Source organism: Homo sapiens, chromosome 12 (genome assembly GCF_000001405.40).
Source record: "Homo sapiens chromosome 12, GRCh38.p14 Primary Assembly".
Lineage (NCBI taxonomy): Eukaryota > Metazoa > Chordata > Mammalia > Primates > Hominidae > Homo > Homo sapiens.
Window position 1 is genome coordinate 32,476,192 of NC_000012.12, and position 18,496 is coordinate 32,494,687.

At 39.1% G+C, this 18,496-nt stretch overlaps 1 protein-coding gene and 1 pseudogene across 6 annotated transcripts in view, besides 1 other annotated feature; one reads left to right on the forward strand and one right to left on the reverse strand.

The window, feature by feature from the left end:
* Positions 1-18,496, forward strand: part of FGD4 (FYVE, RhoGEF and PH domain containing 4) — a 246,493-nt gene that overhangs the window by 76,634 nt on the left and 151,363 nt on the right. For 3 of the 6 annotated variants that reach the window (XM_047428291.1, NM_001304481.2, NM_001330374.2), the window contains exon 1: positions 9,781-9,952. The exons of the other annotated variants lie outside the window; for them this stretch is intronic. In XM_047428291.1, the coding sequence (XP_047284247.1) occupies positions 9,810-9,952 (143 nt within the window). In that variant the 5' untranslated portion in view covers positions 9,781-9,809. Of the gene's footprint in view, positions 1-9,780; positions 9,953-18,496 lie in introns of those variants that run through there. 6 annotated transcript variants of the gene reach the window in all.
* Positions 1,191-1,280, reverse strand: RNU6-494P (RNA, U6 small nuclear 494, pseudogene; annotated as a pseudogene).
* Positions 6,164-6,323: a silencer, noted in NCBI's record as "silent region_4338". NCBI's record gives its function as "represses an Ori minimal core promoter by ATAC-STARR-seq in GM12878 lymphoblastoid cells {active_cell/tissue: GM12878}" and the evidence as "EXISTENCE:reporter gene assay evidence [ECO:0000049][PMID:35858748]".

The window sequence follows — 18,496 nt, forward strand, 5'->3', positions numbered from 1 at the left end:
AGCTGTTGTCTACCACCTGGACCCAAACCGTACATATTTTGAGTTTTTGTTATAGCAGAGCCTCCTTTCTGATACCAAATTTTGTTTTGGTTATCTATTGTTGCATAATTAATAATTTCAAAATTTAATGGCTTAAAAACAAGTATTTTCTCACGCATGGTCTTGCAATTTGGCCAGAGTTTGGTAGGAATGGCACATCTCTGATCTGTGTGCTGACAGCTCGATTAGATTTATTTCCAAGATACCTTAATTATATGACTGTCGAGTTGGTCCTACCACCTGAGGTTTTAGTTGGAATTGTCAACTGGGACCTTAATTCTCCTCCACGCAGCCCTTTCTGATGCATGTTCTGCTTTGACCTTCTCACAATGTGGCAGCTAGATTCCAAAAAGCAGGAAGCAGAAGTTGCCATGCCTCTAGCTAGGTGCAGGGCTATGTGCCTGTAATACCAGCTACTCAGGAAGCTGAAGTGGATGGATCACTTGAGGCCAGCCTGGGTAGCAGTGAGAACCTGTTTCTAATTAAAAAAACATAAAAGAAGGTGCCTGGCCTCTTAAAGATTAAGCTCGCATTTGGCATACAGTGGAATTTCTGGTCTTTTCTGCTGGACAAAGCAATCATATACCTAGCTCAGATTCAAGGAGGTGGAGAAATAGACCCCATCTCTTAGTGGGGGTAGTGGCAGAAGTTGTGGCTGTCATTAATCCACTGTAATCTGTGAGCTGTTTTTCTTTAACAGTACTGAAAAGACACTCTTGGCTTAAGGTTATGAGTTGGTGAAAAGTAATTGTTTACTACTTGAAAAATGAAGATCTGGCCAGGTGCGTGGCTCATGCCTGTAATTCCAGCACTTTGGGAGGCCAAGGCAGGCGGATCACCTGAGGTAAGGAGTTCAGGACCATCCTGGCCAACATGGCGAAACCCTTTCTCTACTAAAAGTACAAAAATTAGCCGGGCGTGGTGGTGGGTGCCTGTAATCCCAGCTACTCAGGAGGCTGAGACAGGAGAATCGCTTGAACCCAGAAGGCAGAAGTTGTAGTGAGCTGAGATTATGCACTGCACTCCAGCCTAGGTGACTAGAGTGAGACTCCGTCTCAAAAAAAAAAAAACCTTGAAGATCTGGAAGGAGGTAGCAAGAAAACCTTTCCATATAAAGAGCCTCTCTTGATATCAGTTTGTTGAAATTTTATTTTAATATGGAACACTTCACGAATTTGCATGTCATCCTTGTATTCTCTCTGTCATTCCGATTTTAGTATATGTGCTGCCAAAGTAAGCACCATTGGAAGAAATTTTAAATGGTGTATTTCACAGATGGACAGAAGTCATTTTAAGTTCCTTGCCAACAGAGTAACACTCTCCAGCACCATTGGTTGTGTCAAAGTTTGTGTGTGACAGGAAAGTGTGAATGTGTTTATACATCTTGATCTTACCAGTGAACGGTGTATTTTTTTTAAAATAAAGCTTGTCTTATACACTACTAAGTGTAGAGAAAGAGTCCCCTTCCACACACTCCCCTCCTCAAAATAGAACCAGATGCTCTTTAAGAGTTGTGAACAATGAAAGGCATAATCTGGATGCATTGTAGAAATGATTGTGGTAAACCAAAGAAGGAATAATGGGATGACAGAAGCCCAGGGCTTTCTATCACTTGGAACTTTTGTGGTGCAGCTGTTTGTAGATTGGTAGGAGACGACAAAACAGATGGCAGCAGAGGTTGCCTCTGCCTTTGCTCATTCACTCGAGTCATCTATTAGGTTTGCTCAGACAGGATAGTAAATGGCTTCCTGAATTTGTGAAGCACTTAGGCTAGTAAATTTCTCCATATCTAATTTGGAGTTCTGTTTAGAAAAAAAATATCAAATTAATGCCCTGTGACAACAGTGATTCAACAGAGTTTATATCCATCTTTCATAGGATCTGATTAGTATTAAGTCTTTGACCTTTATTTTCTTTTTTATCGTATTGTTGTACTTTTGATTTAATGCTTTTGTTTCTGGTTATACATTTTCTTGATAGCATCAGTAAGTTGTTGGTAAGTATTGAAATAACTTAAATATTTTTCTTCAATGTGATTGTGTTTTTTAATGAGACAGAGTCTCACTCTGTTGCTCAGGCTGAAGTGGAGTGCCACGATCTCGGCTTTCACTGCAGCCTCCGTCTCCCAGATTAAAGCAATTGTCACGCCTCATCGTCCTGAATAGCTGAAACTACAGTTGTATGCCACCACACCTGGCTAATGTTTTGTATTTTTTGTACAGATGGGGTTTCACCATGTTGGCCAAGCTGGTCTTGAACTCCTGACCTCAGGTGATCTGCCCACCTTGGCCTCGCAAAGTGCTGGGCTTACAGATGTGAGCCGTTGTGCCTGGCTTCTTGTTAAGTATTGAAATAACTTGAATATTTTTCTTCAATATGATTGTGAAAATATTTGGGATAGCACAAGCTTCCCTTAGTTGCTTGTAGTTTTACTTTCCCACACCTGAGTAGTTTGCAAGTGTGATTGACTTTGTGCTTCCTCCTTTTTCTCTCTTTGTTCTTCCATTTATGTTTTAATCTTCCGTCCTCCTCATACCTTACCAAGTCTGGTTGAGTAACATATTTAGGAATGATCTTATGGGTAGTGTGGTTGAGGCATGATCACAATTATGATCCGTGGCATATGAATCTGCATGAAGAATCCTTCCAGCTCCTTCTGGATATTCTCCATCCCAGTGTCAAACTTCCATGGCACGATACCATTACCAACCATTTCAGCAACGATGCCCACACTGTTGGTTTCTAGAGATTATTTACTTCTGTATCTGCCCAACTTATAACTCCGTTTGCTTTGGGATATGCTAGATACTTATTAATCTGTCAAGTAATTATTGTATGTGAACTAGTAAAATGTTAACTAGGAGATACAGAGGTGAACAGGAAATGTTCACTGTAATTGGCTCCTTGGTCTTCAGTCTTCACAATTTTTCACAGTCAGATTTGAAAGCTGAATGTAGTTTTCTGAAGGCTTGGAGTACATACTTGTGCTATTTGAGGAGGTCTCTGAGTTTTTTTGGTGCTCTTGCCTCACAACTATACTTAATCATATTTAATAGGACCTTGTTTCATTTCCTATTAAATATGACTAAAGTGTAGTCATATAACTAAAGTTTTGTAAAACTTGCTGTGTTCTATTTTATTTTTAATAGAAACGGGGTCTCCCTGTGTTGCCCAGGCTGGTCACAAACTTCTGGCCTTAAGCAGTCATCCTACCTCAGCCTCCCATGAATTCTTACTATTTTAAACTCCTATTGTAAAGAATGTATTCTTGCATATAATTTTTAAATTATCCTTTATTTCCCCTGGGTAGGTACATAACTTTCTGATTATATTCCTTAATTAGCCTAGCAGTGAGAGGTCTGTATTTTCACAGACCTCTCACTGCTAGGCTAATTAAATTTAATCCTCTAAAGATTTTTTCATACATTTCACTTTTTCCTGTAGTTTTAGTAAATTGTCCAAATAGTTATATTCGTTTACTATTTAACAGAATTTATTTTTTCCACTTGACCTTCTCTGCAGAAATATAAGCAGAAAAATTTATAAAGCATTATTCTTTTTTTTTTTTTTTTTTTTGAGATTGGGTCTCACTCTGTCACCCTGGCTGGAGTTCAGTGGCGCAATCTCGGCTCACTGCAACCTCCACCTCCCAAGTTCAAGTGATTCTCCTGCCTCAGCCTCCCAAGTAACTGGGACCACACATGCGTACCTCCACATCCAGCTAATTTTTTGTATTTTCTTATAGAGACAGGGTCCTTCCATGTTGCTCAGCGTGGTCTCAAAACTCCCAGGCTCAAGTGATCTGCCTGCCTCAGCCTTCCAAAGTGCTGAGATTACAGACATGAACCACTACGCCCTGCCTGTAAAGTCTGTTTTTCAGCATATTCTGCTTATTTGCCCCAAATGGATATGTTTGTTTGTGGGGGTTTTTTTTGTTTTTTTTGTTTTGAGACTGAGTCTCGCTCTGTCACCCAGAGCTGGAGTGCCGTGGCATGATCTTGGCTCACTGCAAGCTCCGCCTGCCAGGTTCACACCATTCTCCTGTCTCAGCCTCCCAAGTAGCTGGGATTACAGGTACGTGCCACCATGCCCAGCTAATTTTTTTGTATTTTCAGTAGAGACGGGGTTTCACCGTGTTAGCTAGGATGGTCTCGATCTCTTGTCTTCGTGATCCGCCCACTTCGGCCTCCCAAAGTGCTGAGATTACAGGTGTGAGCCACAACGCCCAACCTGTTTGTTTTTTCTTCTCTTTTTTCTTTTCTTTCTTTCTTTGTTTTTTTCGTTTTTTTGAGACGGAGTCTTACTCTGTCACCAGGCTGGAGTGCAGTGGCGCAATCTCAGCTCACTGCAACCTCCACCTCCCAGGTTGAAGTGATTCTCCTGCCTCAGCCTTCCGAGTAGCTGGGATTACAGGCACGCACCACCATGGCCAGCTAATTTTTGTATTTTTAGTAGAGACGGGGTTTCACCATGTTGGCCAGGATGCTCTTGCTCTCCTGACCTCGTGATCCGCCCTCCTTGGCCCCCCAAAGTGCTGGGATTACAGGCGTGAGCCACCACGCCCGGCCTTTTTTTTTTTTTTTTAAATCTTGAGACAGGATCTTGCTCTATTGCCCAGGCTGGAGTGTTGTGGCACCATTATGGCTCACTACAGCCTTGACGTCCTGGGCTTAAATGATGCTCTCACCTTACATTCTCAAGTAGCTGGGACCATAGGTGTGCATGGCCACACCCGGCCAATGTAAAAATAATTGTGTGTGTATGCATGCTGAGATGGGGTCTCCCTATGTTGCCCGGGCTGGCCTTGAACTCCTGGGCTCAAGCAATCCCCGGCTTGCGGTGAGCTGAGATAGTGCCACTGTACTCCAGCCTGGGTGACAGAGTGAGACTCCGTCTCAAAAAAAAAAAAAAAAAAAAAAAAAAAAAAGCCGGGCGCAGTGGCTCATGCCTGTAATCCCAGTACTTTGGGAGGCCGATGCGGTTGGATCATGAGGTCAGGAGATCAAGACCATCCTGGTTAACATGGTGAAACCCCGTCTCTAGTAAAAATATAAAAATTAGCTGGCCATACAAAAATTAGCTGCCAAATACATTGTGGCAATGCAAGTGTTCTAGTTTTCATATTGTAATATGGTCTTACAAGATGTAATGATCAAAGGAAACTGGGTGAATGGTACACTGGACCTCTCTGTCATATTTTTGCAACTTCCTATGAGTCTGTAAGTATTTCTAAATAAAATGCTAAAAGATATATCCAGACTTTAGACCTATGCCGTCCACTAGCCACAGATTGCTTTAAAAATGAACATCAGCCGGGTGCGGTGGCTCACGCCTGTAATCCCAGCATTTTGGGAAGCTGAGGCGGGTGGATCAGGAGATCAGGGGTTCAAGACCAGCCTGACCAACAAGGTGAAACCCTGTCTCTACTAAAAATATGTAAGTTAGCTGGGTGTGGTGGTGTGCACCTGCAGTCCTAGCTACTTGGGAGGCTGAGGTGGAAGGATCTCTTGAACCTGGGAGGCAGAGGTTGCAGTGAGCCAAGATTGTGCCACTGTACTCCAGCCTGGGTGACAGAGCAAGACTGTCTCAAAAAAAAAAAAAAAAGAACATCTAAGTTAATTGAAATAATTTCAGTTCCTTGATCACACGAACCCATGTTTCAAGTGCTCATGTGGCCACCTTATTATATAGCACAATTATAGAACATTTTCATTATTGCATAAAGTTCAATTGGGCAGTCTGCTTTAAATAAAACCCTCTATAGTAGTGCCAGTTGTCACATGTCTTGGTACCTACACATTTCTTAGAGAACAGTCTCAAATTTACAAATCAAAGTAATTGTCTATACCAGTAAAATTAAATAGAATGGATAAATTAAGCATTTTTTAAAAAAGTGCCGTGACTTTCAAGGCCACATTATATATTTTAATAAACAAAGGAAATGAAATATTTGCTTCATGTTTGAAATAGGAATAAGGTGTTTTTCCTTATCTGCCAAAGCAGTTGCTGTCTTTTTCCATAATCACAATATAGCATATTTAGGAGATGGGAAAAACAGAGACAGATGGGTAGGGAAAAGAGAAATTCTGGCATGAAAAGTATTTTGAATATCCCATGCTTCTTGTTTTCTATTTCTTAGTGACCAGCTTACCAATGGTAGCTTACCATTGAAGAGGAAGTGTGGTTTAGCAACCAGACCTTAAACCAAAATTCTATTTCTGGCTCGAAGTGACCTTGAGGAAGTTACACATATGTTCTTCTCATTTGTACAGCGAATAAGCAAATTAAGATAAAAGCAACTATTGCTGAGCGGACTGTAGGACTGCAAGATATGTTACTCTAAAATGATCCCACTATTCCAGATTATATATAAAATGATTTGCTTACAAGTAGATTAAATACAGAGTTTCCAGGAATTTAGTTATGCAAAGAATCCCATGAGGTAGAAAGAGGAACTTTACCAGGCATAAAAATTTTTAAGTTTTGAGTTTGGGGGGAGAATACAAGAAAACGAAGACATAGGGTAAAAATTTTTATTTCATCCCACGTTAATAATTTTGACAAACTTTGGGAGGATAAGCAGACGTTCTGCACTTTAGAAATCACGTTTTGAAGTTAAATAGTTCAGGATTTGCATTCCAGACCTGCCGTTTACTATCTGGAAAGTTACTTTCTCAGTTATAGATGATGTATAGATGTTCTCAGTTTCAACACCTATTAATGACTTTTTGTTGAGGTTGTTATGAGGAGAGCACATAGCAAGTTAAGTATACAGCTATAATTACTGATAATTTTATCAAGATACGGAATATAATGATGGTGTTAGGAAAATATAAATAGCTTAGTGTATTCTCCTTTTATGAAGCTTTATTTTTAGCCACATGATAATTTTTGTGTGTGTGTGTGGGTAGAATACTAATTTTAGCTTGTAACGAATTGGTTAAAATTGCAGTTCCTATAGCCATTCTGAAATTCAAGCATGTGTGAGTAAATTGATCAGGATCACTTGATTTAAAGCCAGTAGGGATAAATCTGTATTTTGTAAAATCTACAAGGCAGAGAATCTGTGCAGAGAACTCAGAAAAATAGCACAATCACACATCTATGGGTGCAATTTTATTTCAGTGTAATCCCTGCAACATTTTTCTACGGCTAGATCCATATAATCTCTGAATGAATAGTGAAAGGTTTAGTTGATTGTAAAGATACATAAAAATCTACAATGTACAATGCCAAATCATCAGAAAATATTCCATATAACTTTTCTTTTTCTTTGCCCTCCAAACTGCCAAAACATTGAAAAAAGAGGTCAAGAACAAAGGCCAGCATACTCATGAGGATCCTTCTGGCCCTGGTTCACAGTAGCAGTGCAGGACAGTTCCAGTTTTAGCCCATAACTCATTGGCATATGGTCAGTTTGAAGTTTCCTGCAGTACTTTTCTGAGCTAGAGAGAGGGAACCAAAAATGCTGACATCCTCATTTGACATCTTCACTCCAGCCTGTGTAAGTGCCAGCACTTCCTGTGTAAAACCTATCCTGACTGTAGAGGACACACCCAGCCCTTAGCTGACCTGGATGAGGATGATGGCTGGAATTGGTGAGGTTTGGAAAGCATTAGCCCTCAGATGGACACCACCACAGTATATGAACATACTGTGTATTACTATACCTTTCACTTCATAAAGATCAGCTTTTAAAGTTTATGAAAATAACATTTATTGACAGCAAGTGATTGTTGGAGGTAGGTTACTAGCTCTCAAAATCACCACTGCATTACAGTATTATACTAGATGATGGTGTGTTCAAGAAAGAGTTAATTATTTGGATGTATAATACCTTGGAAATTACACCAAAAAAAATCCGTTGGGAGCTCTGAAGTGTGCATATCTTGTCTGCCTCATATAGTATGGCTTTATCTTGACTGCCTTGTCAGTCTTGGCCTCAATTTTCTTATCCATGCAATGGGAGGATTTCTAAATGTCTTAAGACTTTATGATGTTAGTGTGTATTTCTCCAAGTAGTTTTCTTCATGCTTCCACTTGTTGGTTCATAAGCTGCATCAGGTGTGTGTTTTACTATACCCATCAAAATGTCCTCACCTACTCTCAAAGTGCTTTAAGGTAACATACAATTTTTAGTTTGCTATTCCATATAACATAGAAACATAATAATTTTAAGAAGTGATGTTACAAAGTTGAGCTGAGTCTAGGTATTATGGTTTGATTCTGACTACAACATCTGACTATCACATGAAAAGGGACATTTGTGTTATGTAAATGTTGAATTTACATCATGATTAATGTTTAGGTGTTTTAAAACATCTGTTATGTGATAAATTAACTAAAATACCCCTTTTTAGGCTGGGTGCAGTCACTCATGCCTGTAATCCCAGCATTTTCGGAGGCCGAGGTGGGTGGATTACCTGAGGTCAGGAGTTCAAGACCAGCCTGGCCAACATGGTGAAACCCCACCTCTACTAAAAATACAAAAATTAGCCAGACGTGCTGGTGGGCACCTGTAATCCAAGCTACTTGGGAGGCTGAGGCAGGAGAATAGCTTGAACCTGGGAGGCAGAGGTTGCAGTGAGCCAAGATCACACCACTACACTCCAGCCAGGGTGACAGAGGGATACTCTGTCTCAGAAAAAAAACAAAATAAAAATAAAAAATCCCATCTTATTTTTTAAGAAATGGCGCCTCACTCTGTCGCCCAGACTGAGGTATGGTGGTATGATAGTAGCTCACTATGTAACGTCAACCTTCTATGCTCAAGTGATCCTCCTGCCTCAGCCTGTTGAGTAGCTGGGATGACAGGCACATGCCATAACACCCAGCTAATTTTTTAAAATTTATTTTTGTAGAGATGGGGTCTCACCATGTTGCCTAGGTTGGTCTCTAATTTCTGGCCTCAAACATAAAACATTCATTTTAATCCATAATTTTACTTTATAGGCATAACAAGGATGAGAAATTTGCCTATCAATCAGTGCCTTCCTCTTTTAAAAACCTGACTTGTTTTTATATAGAAATTACTTGGGATTGCTAGGTAACCCGCATAACCATTCCTGGAAAAAAATGGAAGGCCCTTTTTTGCTTTTGGGAATATGGAGAGCTTATACACAGTTTCACTATTCAGCATTGCTTGCAGTATTTCTTACAATTTTCTGATGTCTGTCAAAAAGAATCCTCAGATCTTTTAAGACCAATTTTTTTTTTTTTTTTTTTTTTGAGACAGAGACTCGCCCTGTTGCCCAGGCTGGAGTGCAGTGGCGGGATCTGGGCTCACTGCAAGCTCCGCCTCCCAGGTTCACGCTATTCTCTTGCCTCAGCCTCCCGAGCAGCTGGGACTACAGGCGCCTGCCACCACGCCTGGCTAATTTTTTTTTTGTATTTTCAGTAGAGACGAGGTTTCACCATGTTAGCCAGGATGGTCTCGATTTCTTGACCTCGTGACCCACCCGCCTAGGCCTCCCAGAGTGCTGGGATTACAAGTGTGAGCCACTGCGCCTGACCAAGACCTATTTTTAAAGGGAAGTTTGTTATAAGCCTAAATGCCATAAATGTAATAAAGTTACATGTATTTGGCATCATACTTCCTAGTCCACCCCCGGTATTCTAGAGCTCTCTCAGTACATTTTGAAACACCTTCGTGGAATTTTGAAATGCGTTGCTTGCGTAGTTCCTTGAGCCTGCATCACTGCCAGAAGAAGACTTATGAAACAGAACTCTGTACTTCCCATTAGTTAGTTCTTTATCATGTTGAACACTAGATGTGTATGTGTCTAGTGTCTAAATACAGAATGCCTATAGTTTCTACCAACAAATTATGGATCCAAATCCTTGCTCCAGAAGCAGGAAATAGGTTAATCAGAAGATTGCTGGATGTTATGAAAAGAATCTTTTATGGGGGGCTGTGAGTATTGTTTTGCAATTGCCATTTCTGAAATATCTCAGGTTAAAACATTTGGATTTTTTCACTATGCAAAGTATACAATAGATGAGGTCACTGGTATTTCTCTTTGTTTACTGTTAAGTGATAATAATTTGTACCACGATGGAAAAATTATCGTGGATTTTCTTTAGAGTAGTTCAGTGCTGTGGTTTTAGCACAAAGGTGTGCTTTTTCTTATCTTCATGATCCAGGAACAATTACTTGAGGGAATGGCATTTCTCCCTGTGAGTTCATAGCACAGAGTGTTTCCTGAGAGTAGTGGAAGTGAGTAAGTGCAACCACTGTTGACCCTTGTCATCTCAGTCTTTTTTATTATAACCTCTTTCCTTCTACTTTTTTCACTTGTCTTCTTTCTATTTCTAATATTTAAGATTTACACTTTAGCCAGTTTCTTAAAACTTATTTGTGCACCTAATATTTTCTTGGTCATCAATTATTTGGGGATAAAAATTCCCCCTACTTCTAAAACATGAGCAAGGTACATTGGTAATTCTCAGGTTTAAGGATTTCTTGAAATAACATTATCTGATTTATTGGGATCTGAAGTATAGTTGACTTGACTAGGTACTTCTATCATTGTGGCTTAAGTGATCTTGTAGTCTTTTATATTTAACTGAAAAATCATTTTAGGTTGATGTTTTTGTTCAGAGAAACATTTTAAATTTTAAACCAATATTTTTGTTCAGTAGGAAGGAGAAAAAAATAAACATCCAAGTATAAGCTACTGTAACATTTTGAGGTGTTTTTCCTCTTTGTAGCTATTGTTTTGTGAAACTGAGGCTATACTGTTTATGGATTTTGAATTATACTTCTCCCTCTGACCCCCACCATGTATCATTAAATTATTTCAGGCTACTAAAAATTCTCAGGAAATATCCATTTCAGTTGCTCTACACTATTCTGTTACAGGTACCTTAATTAACACATCCACTATTATTAGATATTTAAAATTTTTCTAAATTCTGTTTTATAAATAATCGTGAGAAGAACATGAATTTGTAAGACTGTCTTGCAAGGTGCCTTTGGTGGGGTGGGTCTCATTGTAGTTGTATTCTTGATTTTAAGATAACAATAATAGCTTGACCTTAGATTTGTAAGCACAAACATTGAATTAGGATTTTAAACAAATGTGTTGGGCATATCTTTGTTTAAATTTATGAATATTACCCTTTTTACACTTTTACTTATATGTGACAGGCAGCGATGTGCTTGCAATTTTAAAATTTATATTGTTATTATTTGTTATTATTATTATCATTTTTTAAGAGACAGAGTCTCACTCAGCTTGTTGCCCAAGCTGGAGTATAGTGGTGTGATCTCGGCTCACTGCAACCTCTGCCTCCTGGATTTCAGTGATTGTCGTGCCTCAACCTCCCAAGAATTACAGGTGCATGTCACCACACCTGGCTAATTTTTGTGTTTTTAGTAGAGACGAGGTTTTGCCATGTTGGCCAGGCTGGTCTTGAACTCCGGACCTCAAGTGATCCACCCGCCTTTGCCTCCCAAAATGCTGGGATTACAGGCGTGAGCCACCATGCCCAGCCAATTTATATTATTTATTTATAGAAACAAGATTTTCTCACTGTGTTGCCCAGGTTGGACTTGAACTCCTGGGCTCAAGCAGTCCTCCCGCCTCAGCCTCCCGATAGCTGGGACTATGGGCAAGTTCCACCACACCCGCATTAGCCATTTTAAAAATGTGGATTCCATTGCTTTTTTCAGAGAGACAAAGTGGAATGGAAGCCATAGAACTTATTCAGATAGCTGGACCATTGAGAAAACTAATAGAGGACTTCAACTAAGGCAGGTTCTTCTATGTTCCAAGTCTTGTATGAATGAAAACTAGATCCATGCATAGGAGATAAATCAAGCATGGGCTGTGAAAATGTTGGTAACTGGAAAAACACAAATTCACAAAGCTTTTGGCTAGTTTTTCTTTGTTTTATTAGGTTATCAATTGGCCTGAGATTTTCCCGAATAATTCAGCCACAGGAAAAAAAAAAAAAAGACAGAGAAAAAGCTTTTTGTTTTTTAACATTGTGACATTGTAAAAAGTTTCTGTGTCACAGACTTGCACCAAGATAGTGTACTGACCTTTCTTGTGGAATGAATAGAACTGAGTTTAGAGTACTTTGAGTTACTTATAAATTCTTAAGTGTGCCTTCTATTTAAAACTTACAGTCATAAAGATAATAATAGAAGAGAAATAGCTAGGGTAATATGATTATACGGTCAGAATTTGGAAGTTTGAAGACTTATCTTCAAGTAATTTTAGATTAGAAAACTTGTGGGATTTTTTTTTTTGAATTTGACTTCAAGATCTCAGGGGATTTCTTTTTTTATTGACCCATTATTTGTGTTCCCCCTGTTAGCTTAGATGGTGTGATATAGGCAACAACCTGATTTTTTTTGTTTAAAAATACATTATCTGATTTTTATTAAATCCCAGATATATGTTAATGTTAAAAAATAAGTTGGCTGGGCACGGTGGCTCACGCCTGTAATCCTAGCACTTTAGGAGGCCAAGGTGGGCGGATCATGAGGTCAGGAGTTCGAGACCAGCCTGGCCAACATGGTGAAACCCCGTCTCTACTAAAAATACAAAAATTAGCTGGGCGTGGTGGCGCATGCCTGTAGTCCCAGCTACTCGGGAGGCTGAGGCAGGAGAATCGCTTGAACCCGGGAGGTGGAGGTTGCAGTGAGCCGAGATCGCACCATTGCACTTCCGCCTGGGTGACAGGGCGAGACTCTGTCTCAAAAAAGTAAAAGTGAGATTTCTTACAGAACCTATATTTTATTCTCTATGATAAGTAGTGAATATATTTATTTGTAAGACTAAAAGTAGACTCAGAATTAGTCTGAAAACCACAGTAGTACTGGTTTTTTTTACACCTGTATTTGCCTTCGTTTTCTTTTCTTTGTATTTCATGCATCTCAGCCTCTTCTCTTTTTGTATTTCATGCATCTCAGCCTATGCTTCTCTTCAGTGCGTGCCTGTAGTGCACATAAGTCTTCTAAGGATCAACTTTGTAACTGAACCAACTGGACTCCTGTCCAGGAGTTTATACCCTTCTTGGCATCTCTCCTGCCCATTTGTTTAATCTTTCCAACTCATTTGATCCTCTAGTATTAGAGCTGACAGCTGCAGTTGCATATGGAGTTCATAAAGTAGCTGAATAATAAAATGTCATGACCCAGTTCTTGTATAGTTTCACTGATGACTAAATTGGCAACTCTTTTAATATTGAAATGGGAATGATCAAGCTGTGTACTTTTCTTTGGAAGTTCACGTATATTCAATGAGTACTTTTACCTCCTATGACTTTCCATAGCAGAAATGCTACAGACTTATTTGGCAGGTCAGGTGGAACATTATCTTGATTTTATAATTATCTTGATTTTACAAGAGGAAAGTTTATGTATAAAAGGGGTTGATGATTGATTCTGAGTGATACTGTATCTGCGAACTCCTTGTATAACAGGTGCTTATTGAGCACCTATTAGACACGGTGGTTTGTGTTATATACACATTATTCCTGATCCTGAGAAGAATCTTGTAAGATAGGTGATATGACCCTATTTTTCGTGTGGAGAAAGTAAGCTCAATGAGGTTATTTTATTTATATATTAAAAAAATCAAGACTTTGGCCTATTAAAAACTTTTTTTGTCTTGTTGAGTTGTCTGAGTTCTTCATATATTCTGTATTGTCAGAATTATGAGCCAAACATGTTTTTCTCCTCTAAGGCTTTCTTTTTTATACTTGATATCCTTTGAACAGTGATGTCCAGTTTCAGTCTTTTCCTTTACAGGTAGGTCTCTGTATCCTGTTTAAAAAATTTCGCCTACCTGAAGGTCATAAAGATATTTTCCTATAGTATTTCCAGAAGCTTTACTATTTTGCCTTTCACATTTAGGTCTATGATTCATCTGGAAATGATCTGCATGTATGATGAGAAGTAGGAGTGAAGATTCTTTTTTTGTCCCATTTGGAGTGACTATCCTTTGCCCACTATATTTTAGTGGCAACTTTGTAATTCTACAGTTTTGACTAAAAATTCTGACATTTGACATTTCCAGAATCTAAACTATCTCAGATGCTTTTTGTAGTTTTTCTTAAATTGTCTCAAGCATGGACTGTGTTTTCTATTTTATCTCAGCTAGCATAGTGAGATAAAATAGAAAATATATATTGTAGGAAAAGAGATTTTTATCAGTCTTTTTTTTTTTTTTTTTGAGATAGTCTTGCTCTGTTACCCAGACTGGAGTGCAGTGCTTGGATCTCGGCTCACTGCAACCTCCACCTCCCAGGTTCAAGCGATTATATCCTGCCTCAGCCTCCTGAGTAGCTGGGACTGCAGGTGCCTGCCACCATGCCCGGCTAATTTTTGTATTTTTAGCAAAGACAGGGTTTCACCATATTGGCCAGGCTGGTCTTGAACTCCTGACCTTGTGATCCACCCACCTCGGCCTCCCAAAGTGCTGGGATTACAGGCATGAGCCACCGCGCCTAGACTTATTAGTCTTTTTTAATGGGATGACAGCAGCTGGGATGTATATATTCCTGCAAGGAAAGAAAAGGAAATGGCTTCACATTGCTGGATGGGAGCAGTATGTGTGTTGTTTCTGGGTATAATCTTCCTAGCTGCACTTTTCCCATACATTTCTTTCTACTAAAAATCATGAAAGTTTGAATTATAGTTCCTCTCACAGGATTGAAAGCAAGTATCAGAGGAGTCATCCATTCAAAACACAGTTCTTCCACTGCAGTATCCGATATGTTTTGTATGTGCGCTAGGCTGTCTTTTCATTCAGTCTACAATACAGTTCACCAGTGTGGAGACCTTTTGCCCTGCCTGATTTGTTTTGTTTTGTTTTACTCACTCTTTTCAATGACTTTTGGTTTTGGCCAGTATGAAGAGTAATGGATGTTGGAATACCTTCTGCCAGTTAAAAAAAAAAAAAAAAAACAAAAAACTATAAAATTGGAAAGGTATATAAGCATTATAGGAATATTTAGAAACAAATTATGAAGATGTAAGCTTCCACCTTAAGGAAACAATTAAACTCTAAGTAGAGAGAGAAAAGTTAAATAGCCCTACATGTACTAAAGAAAATGAATTTGCAATTTAAGATCTTCTAGTAAATAGTGCTGTGGTGTTCCCAGCCCAGGAACCACACTTTGACAATCATTGTCTTAGGCTTCTGAGGTCTACAAGCCTCCTTTAATTATCTGTGTGTGGTATAACATTCTTGGTAAATGTTTGTTGAATAGAATTGATTGTATGACATGGTACCAGGTACAGAAAGTCCCTTCCCTTGAAACACCTAATACTTGTTTTTAACCTTTTTTCGTTGGTAAGGAACTTTTGTCCTTCTCTCTAATGCATTTCAGAAAATGTATATTCCTGCTGATATGGGAAAGGTTTCATTTCTTATGTTTGTGAAACTGTATCTGAATAAGAATGCCTCAGGGTTTCCTTGGTACATATACGTCATATACATCATTATAGCCCATCATGAACATTGTGGGCTATAATGTTCCTAGGTATGCTACTTTAACTGAAAATCTTAAATCCTGTTTTATAAGTTAAACCAAAAATAACACTGATCCTCTTTCTAGCAATGGCAATTTGTTATTTTGCTCTGGGGGCAGTGGAAGGGTAGACTGGATTACGTCTCTGCATGCCTTTGCCTTTTCCCTGGCATTATAGTTCCTTCAAATACTGTGTTGTCCATTTTTAAAAGAAAAGAACCAAATTATAGCATCCCAATTGCTTGTTAACATTCATGAGTTTTATCCAGCATGAATCAGTATTCAGCTGATGGTTGAAATTTTTCTAAAGTGAACAGCATTTTGGAGACTATTAAAAGCCTTTTTAGAAAGTCAGATAGTGACTCTGGACAATGAATTAGCTTAACCTGTAGGAGGAAACTGTACATCAGCTGAGAGGTCTTCTTTGAATCAGGTGGCAAGCCTTCTTGGGCAGAGTGTTTATTTAAAGAAACTTGAAATGAATGTATTGACATTTATTGGGCTGTTACAGAAATTAGGTTCATAAACAGTGCCAACCTCTATGAAATAAAAGTTAATTAAGTGGCTTAATTACACATCAAAGTCCCCTTTTAACCCCAACTACCTGGCATGATTGAGAAATATGAAGCAGACTCTTCTGTCAAAATCATTTCATAAAATTTGTTACAGAGTACAATATTCAGAAAAACCCTGATTCTGATATGTGTCACACAATAACTTTCAGAAATGCACCAAAATGCTGATTGTGATTATGTCTACATAGTGGTTTTATAGTGGATTTTAATTTCTTCTTTATATCAAAACAATTGATGTTAGTTGCAACTCATATTTTAAGTATACTTACAAATATGTTCAACAGTGTGTATTTGAAATTGCTATAGTTTATTATAAAAGTGTTAAAGCAGGATGTACAATATGCTGCTTTATAAACATAATATATTTGTGATATATTCATGTGTAGAGGTATATGAATGTATACCAAAATGATGGGAAAAGATATCATCAGGAGTCATCTCTAGATGATGGGAAATAAGCTACGTTGGTTATATTTTTGGTTATTTCTCTTATTTTTTTTTGGTATAAAACCTTAATTCCTAGTTCATAGAGTTTTTTAAAAAGCAATCTCAGCAAGCATGGGAATCAGTATTTCTTCTAGCTTTAGTAAAGGTGAAAAGCTGGTGCTGCCCGCACCTTGGACAGCCTTGCTTTCCAGGAACAGACAGTGAAGGTGGAACAGCCTCTAAGAGAATGTAGTTGGATGCTTATGGACTGGACAGCTATTATGGACACCCAGGCCTGCTGACTCTTTTTCAGTTTTCAAGGTGAAAACTCTGGTCTGAGGTCATTGCATAGGGTTGGGATTTAGATGACTGCCATTTAGGTCACGAGATGTCTGGGTCACAGCCAGGAAGGTGGAAATCTAGCATCAAAGTCACTGGGCAGTCACCGTCCAGCTACCTGGCAATATAGCAGAGAAATAGGGAGATACAGAAAAAAGGGTTTTTGTTTTGTTTTCTTTTCCTTAGTTTTTTAAATGTTTCACCTGATTTCCAGTTTTGCTAAGAATGGACTTCTCTTTCAAGTTTCTTCAGAAAGCATGGAGAAAGTCAGTGACCTCTGCAGGGTCCTCATTGTTTCCCAGGCTGTCACGCCACTTTCCTTTGAGCCCTACTCTGTTGTCCTGGAGAAGGTGTGGTAATCTGATGAGCCAGGGTCATTAGTCCTGAGACACAGGCTTACTGCCTGGCAGCTCATCAGGACTAGAAAGCATTCTTGCTGCTTGACCTGCTTCAGACACTTGCCACCCACCTCCACTCCATTAGCTCAGATGTGTCAGTGACCCAGGTGCACGGTTACTTCCTGAATAACCAACAGTGGTGTAGCCCAGGCTTAGCGTTATCTTCATGCCTAGCCGTTTTTTATTTGTTCTTTCAGCAAAGATTTAATGAGCACCTACTGCATGCCAGACACTGGAGATTTCTTGGTAAACAAGACAAAGCCCCCTGTCCTTATGGATTTTACCTTTTAAGGTAGGAGCCAGAAATTAAAGTGAGTGAAAAAGAAACGTTCAATATAATGTTGGGCAGTGATACCTTAAACAACAAACAAGCCATTGGAATAGATAGAAAGTGACAGAGGTAGGAATAGTACTCCTATTTTCGATAGGGTGGTGGGGAAGGAAACACTCACCTGAGGAAGTGGCGTTCAGCAGATTTGAATGAAGTGCACTGTAGAAACAAGAGGAAGATCTGGAAGAAAATGTCTTAGGTAGAGGGAACTGCAGATGTAAAGGGTCTGAGGCAGGAATGAGCTTTTGTAGTCAAACTTCGTCAGGGAAGTGTTTTCTAAGAGTTGATCTAGCTATGTTGCCCAGGCTGGAGTGCAGTGGTGTGATCAATGCAGCTTCAAATTCCTGTGCTCAGGCAATCCTCCTGCCTCAACCTTGCGAGTAGCTAGGACTACAGGTGTGTGCCACCACACCCAGCTAACTTTTTAATTTTATTTTATTTTATTTTTGTAGAGATGAGATCTCGCTATGTTGTCCAGGCTAGTCTTGAACTCTGGTCTTGCATTTCTCCCTCCTTGGCCTCCCAGAGGTGCTGGGATTTCGCAAAGAACTGTTAAAATACCTACACAGCTGTTCAATGGACCAATTTATGAGGGATGGTGAGGTCTTTTACCCACCTCCAGCCGTATAATCAGTAAAATATTATTTAGTTTGCTTTCTTATTTACAGAGATTAAGAGCTTCTAGCCATTCAGTGGGATTCCATGTCTGAACTGATAATTTTATATTTTAAAAGTGAATTGCTGTGCAGTAATACCTAAACACATTTACTGGTGATACCTGTTTTTATGAACATCTGTTCAGTGAACATTTATTGATCTTACCTGATTGATTGGATGTGATGGAGGAGACAGCAGGACACAGAGTTGCTTAAGTGTTCAGAGTCCTAGAGAATCAGGAGAGT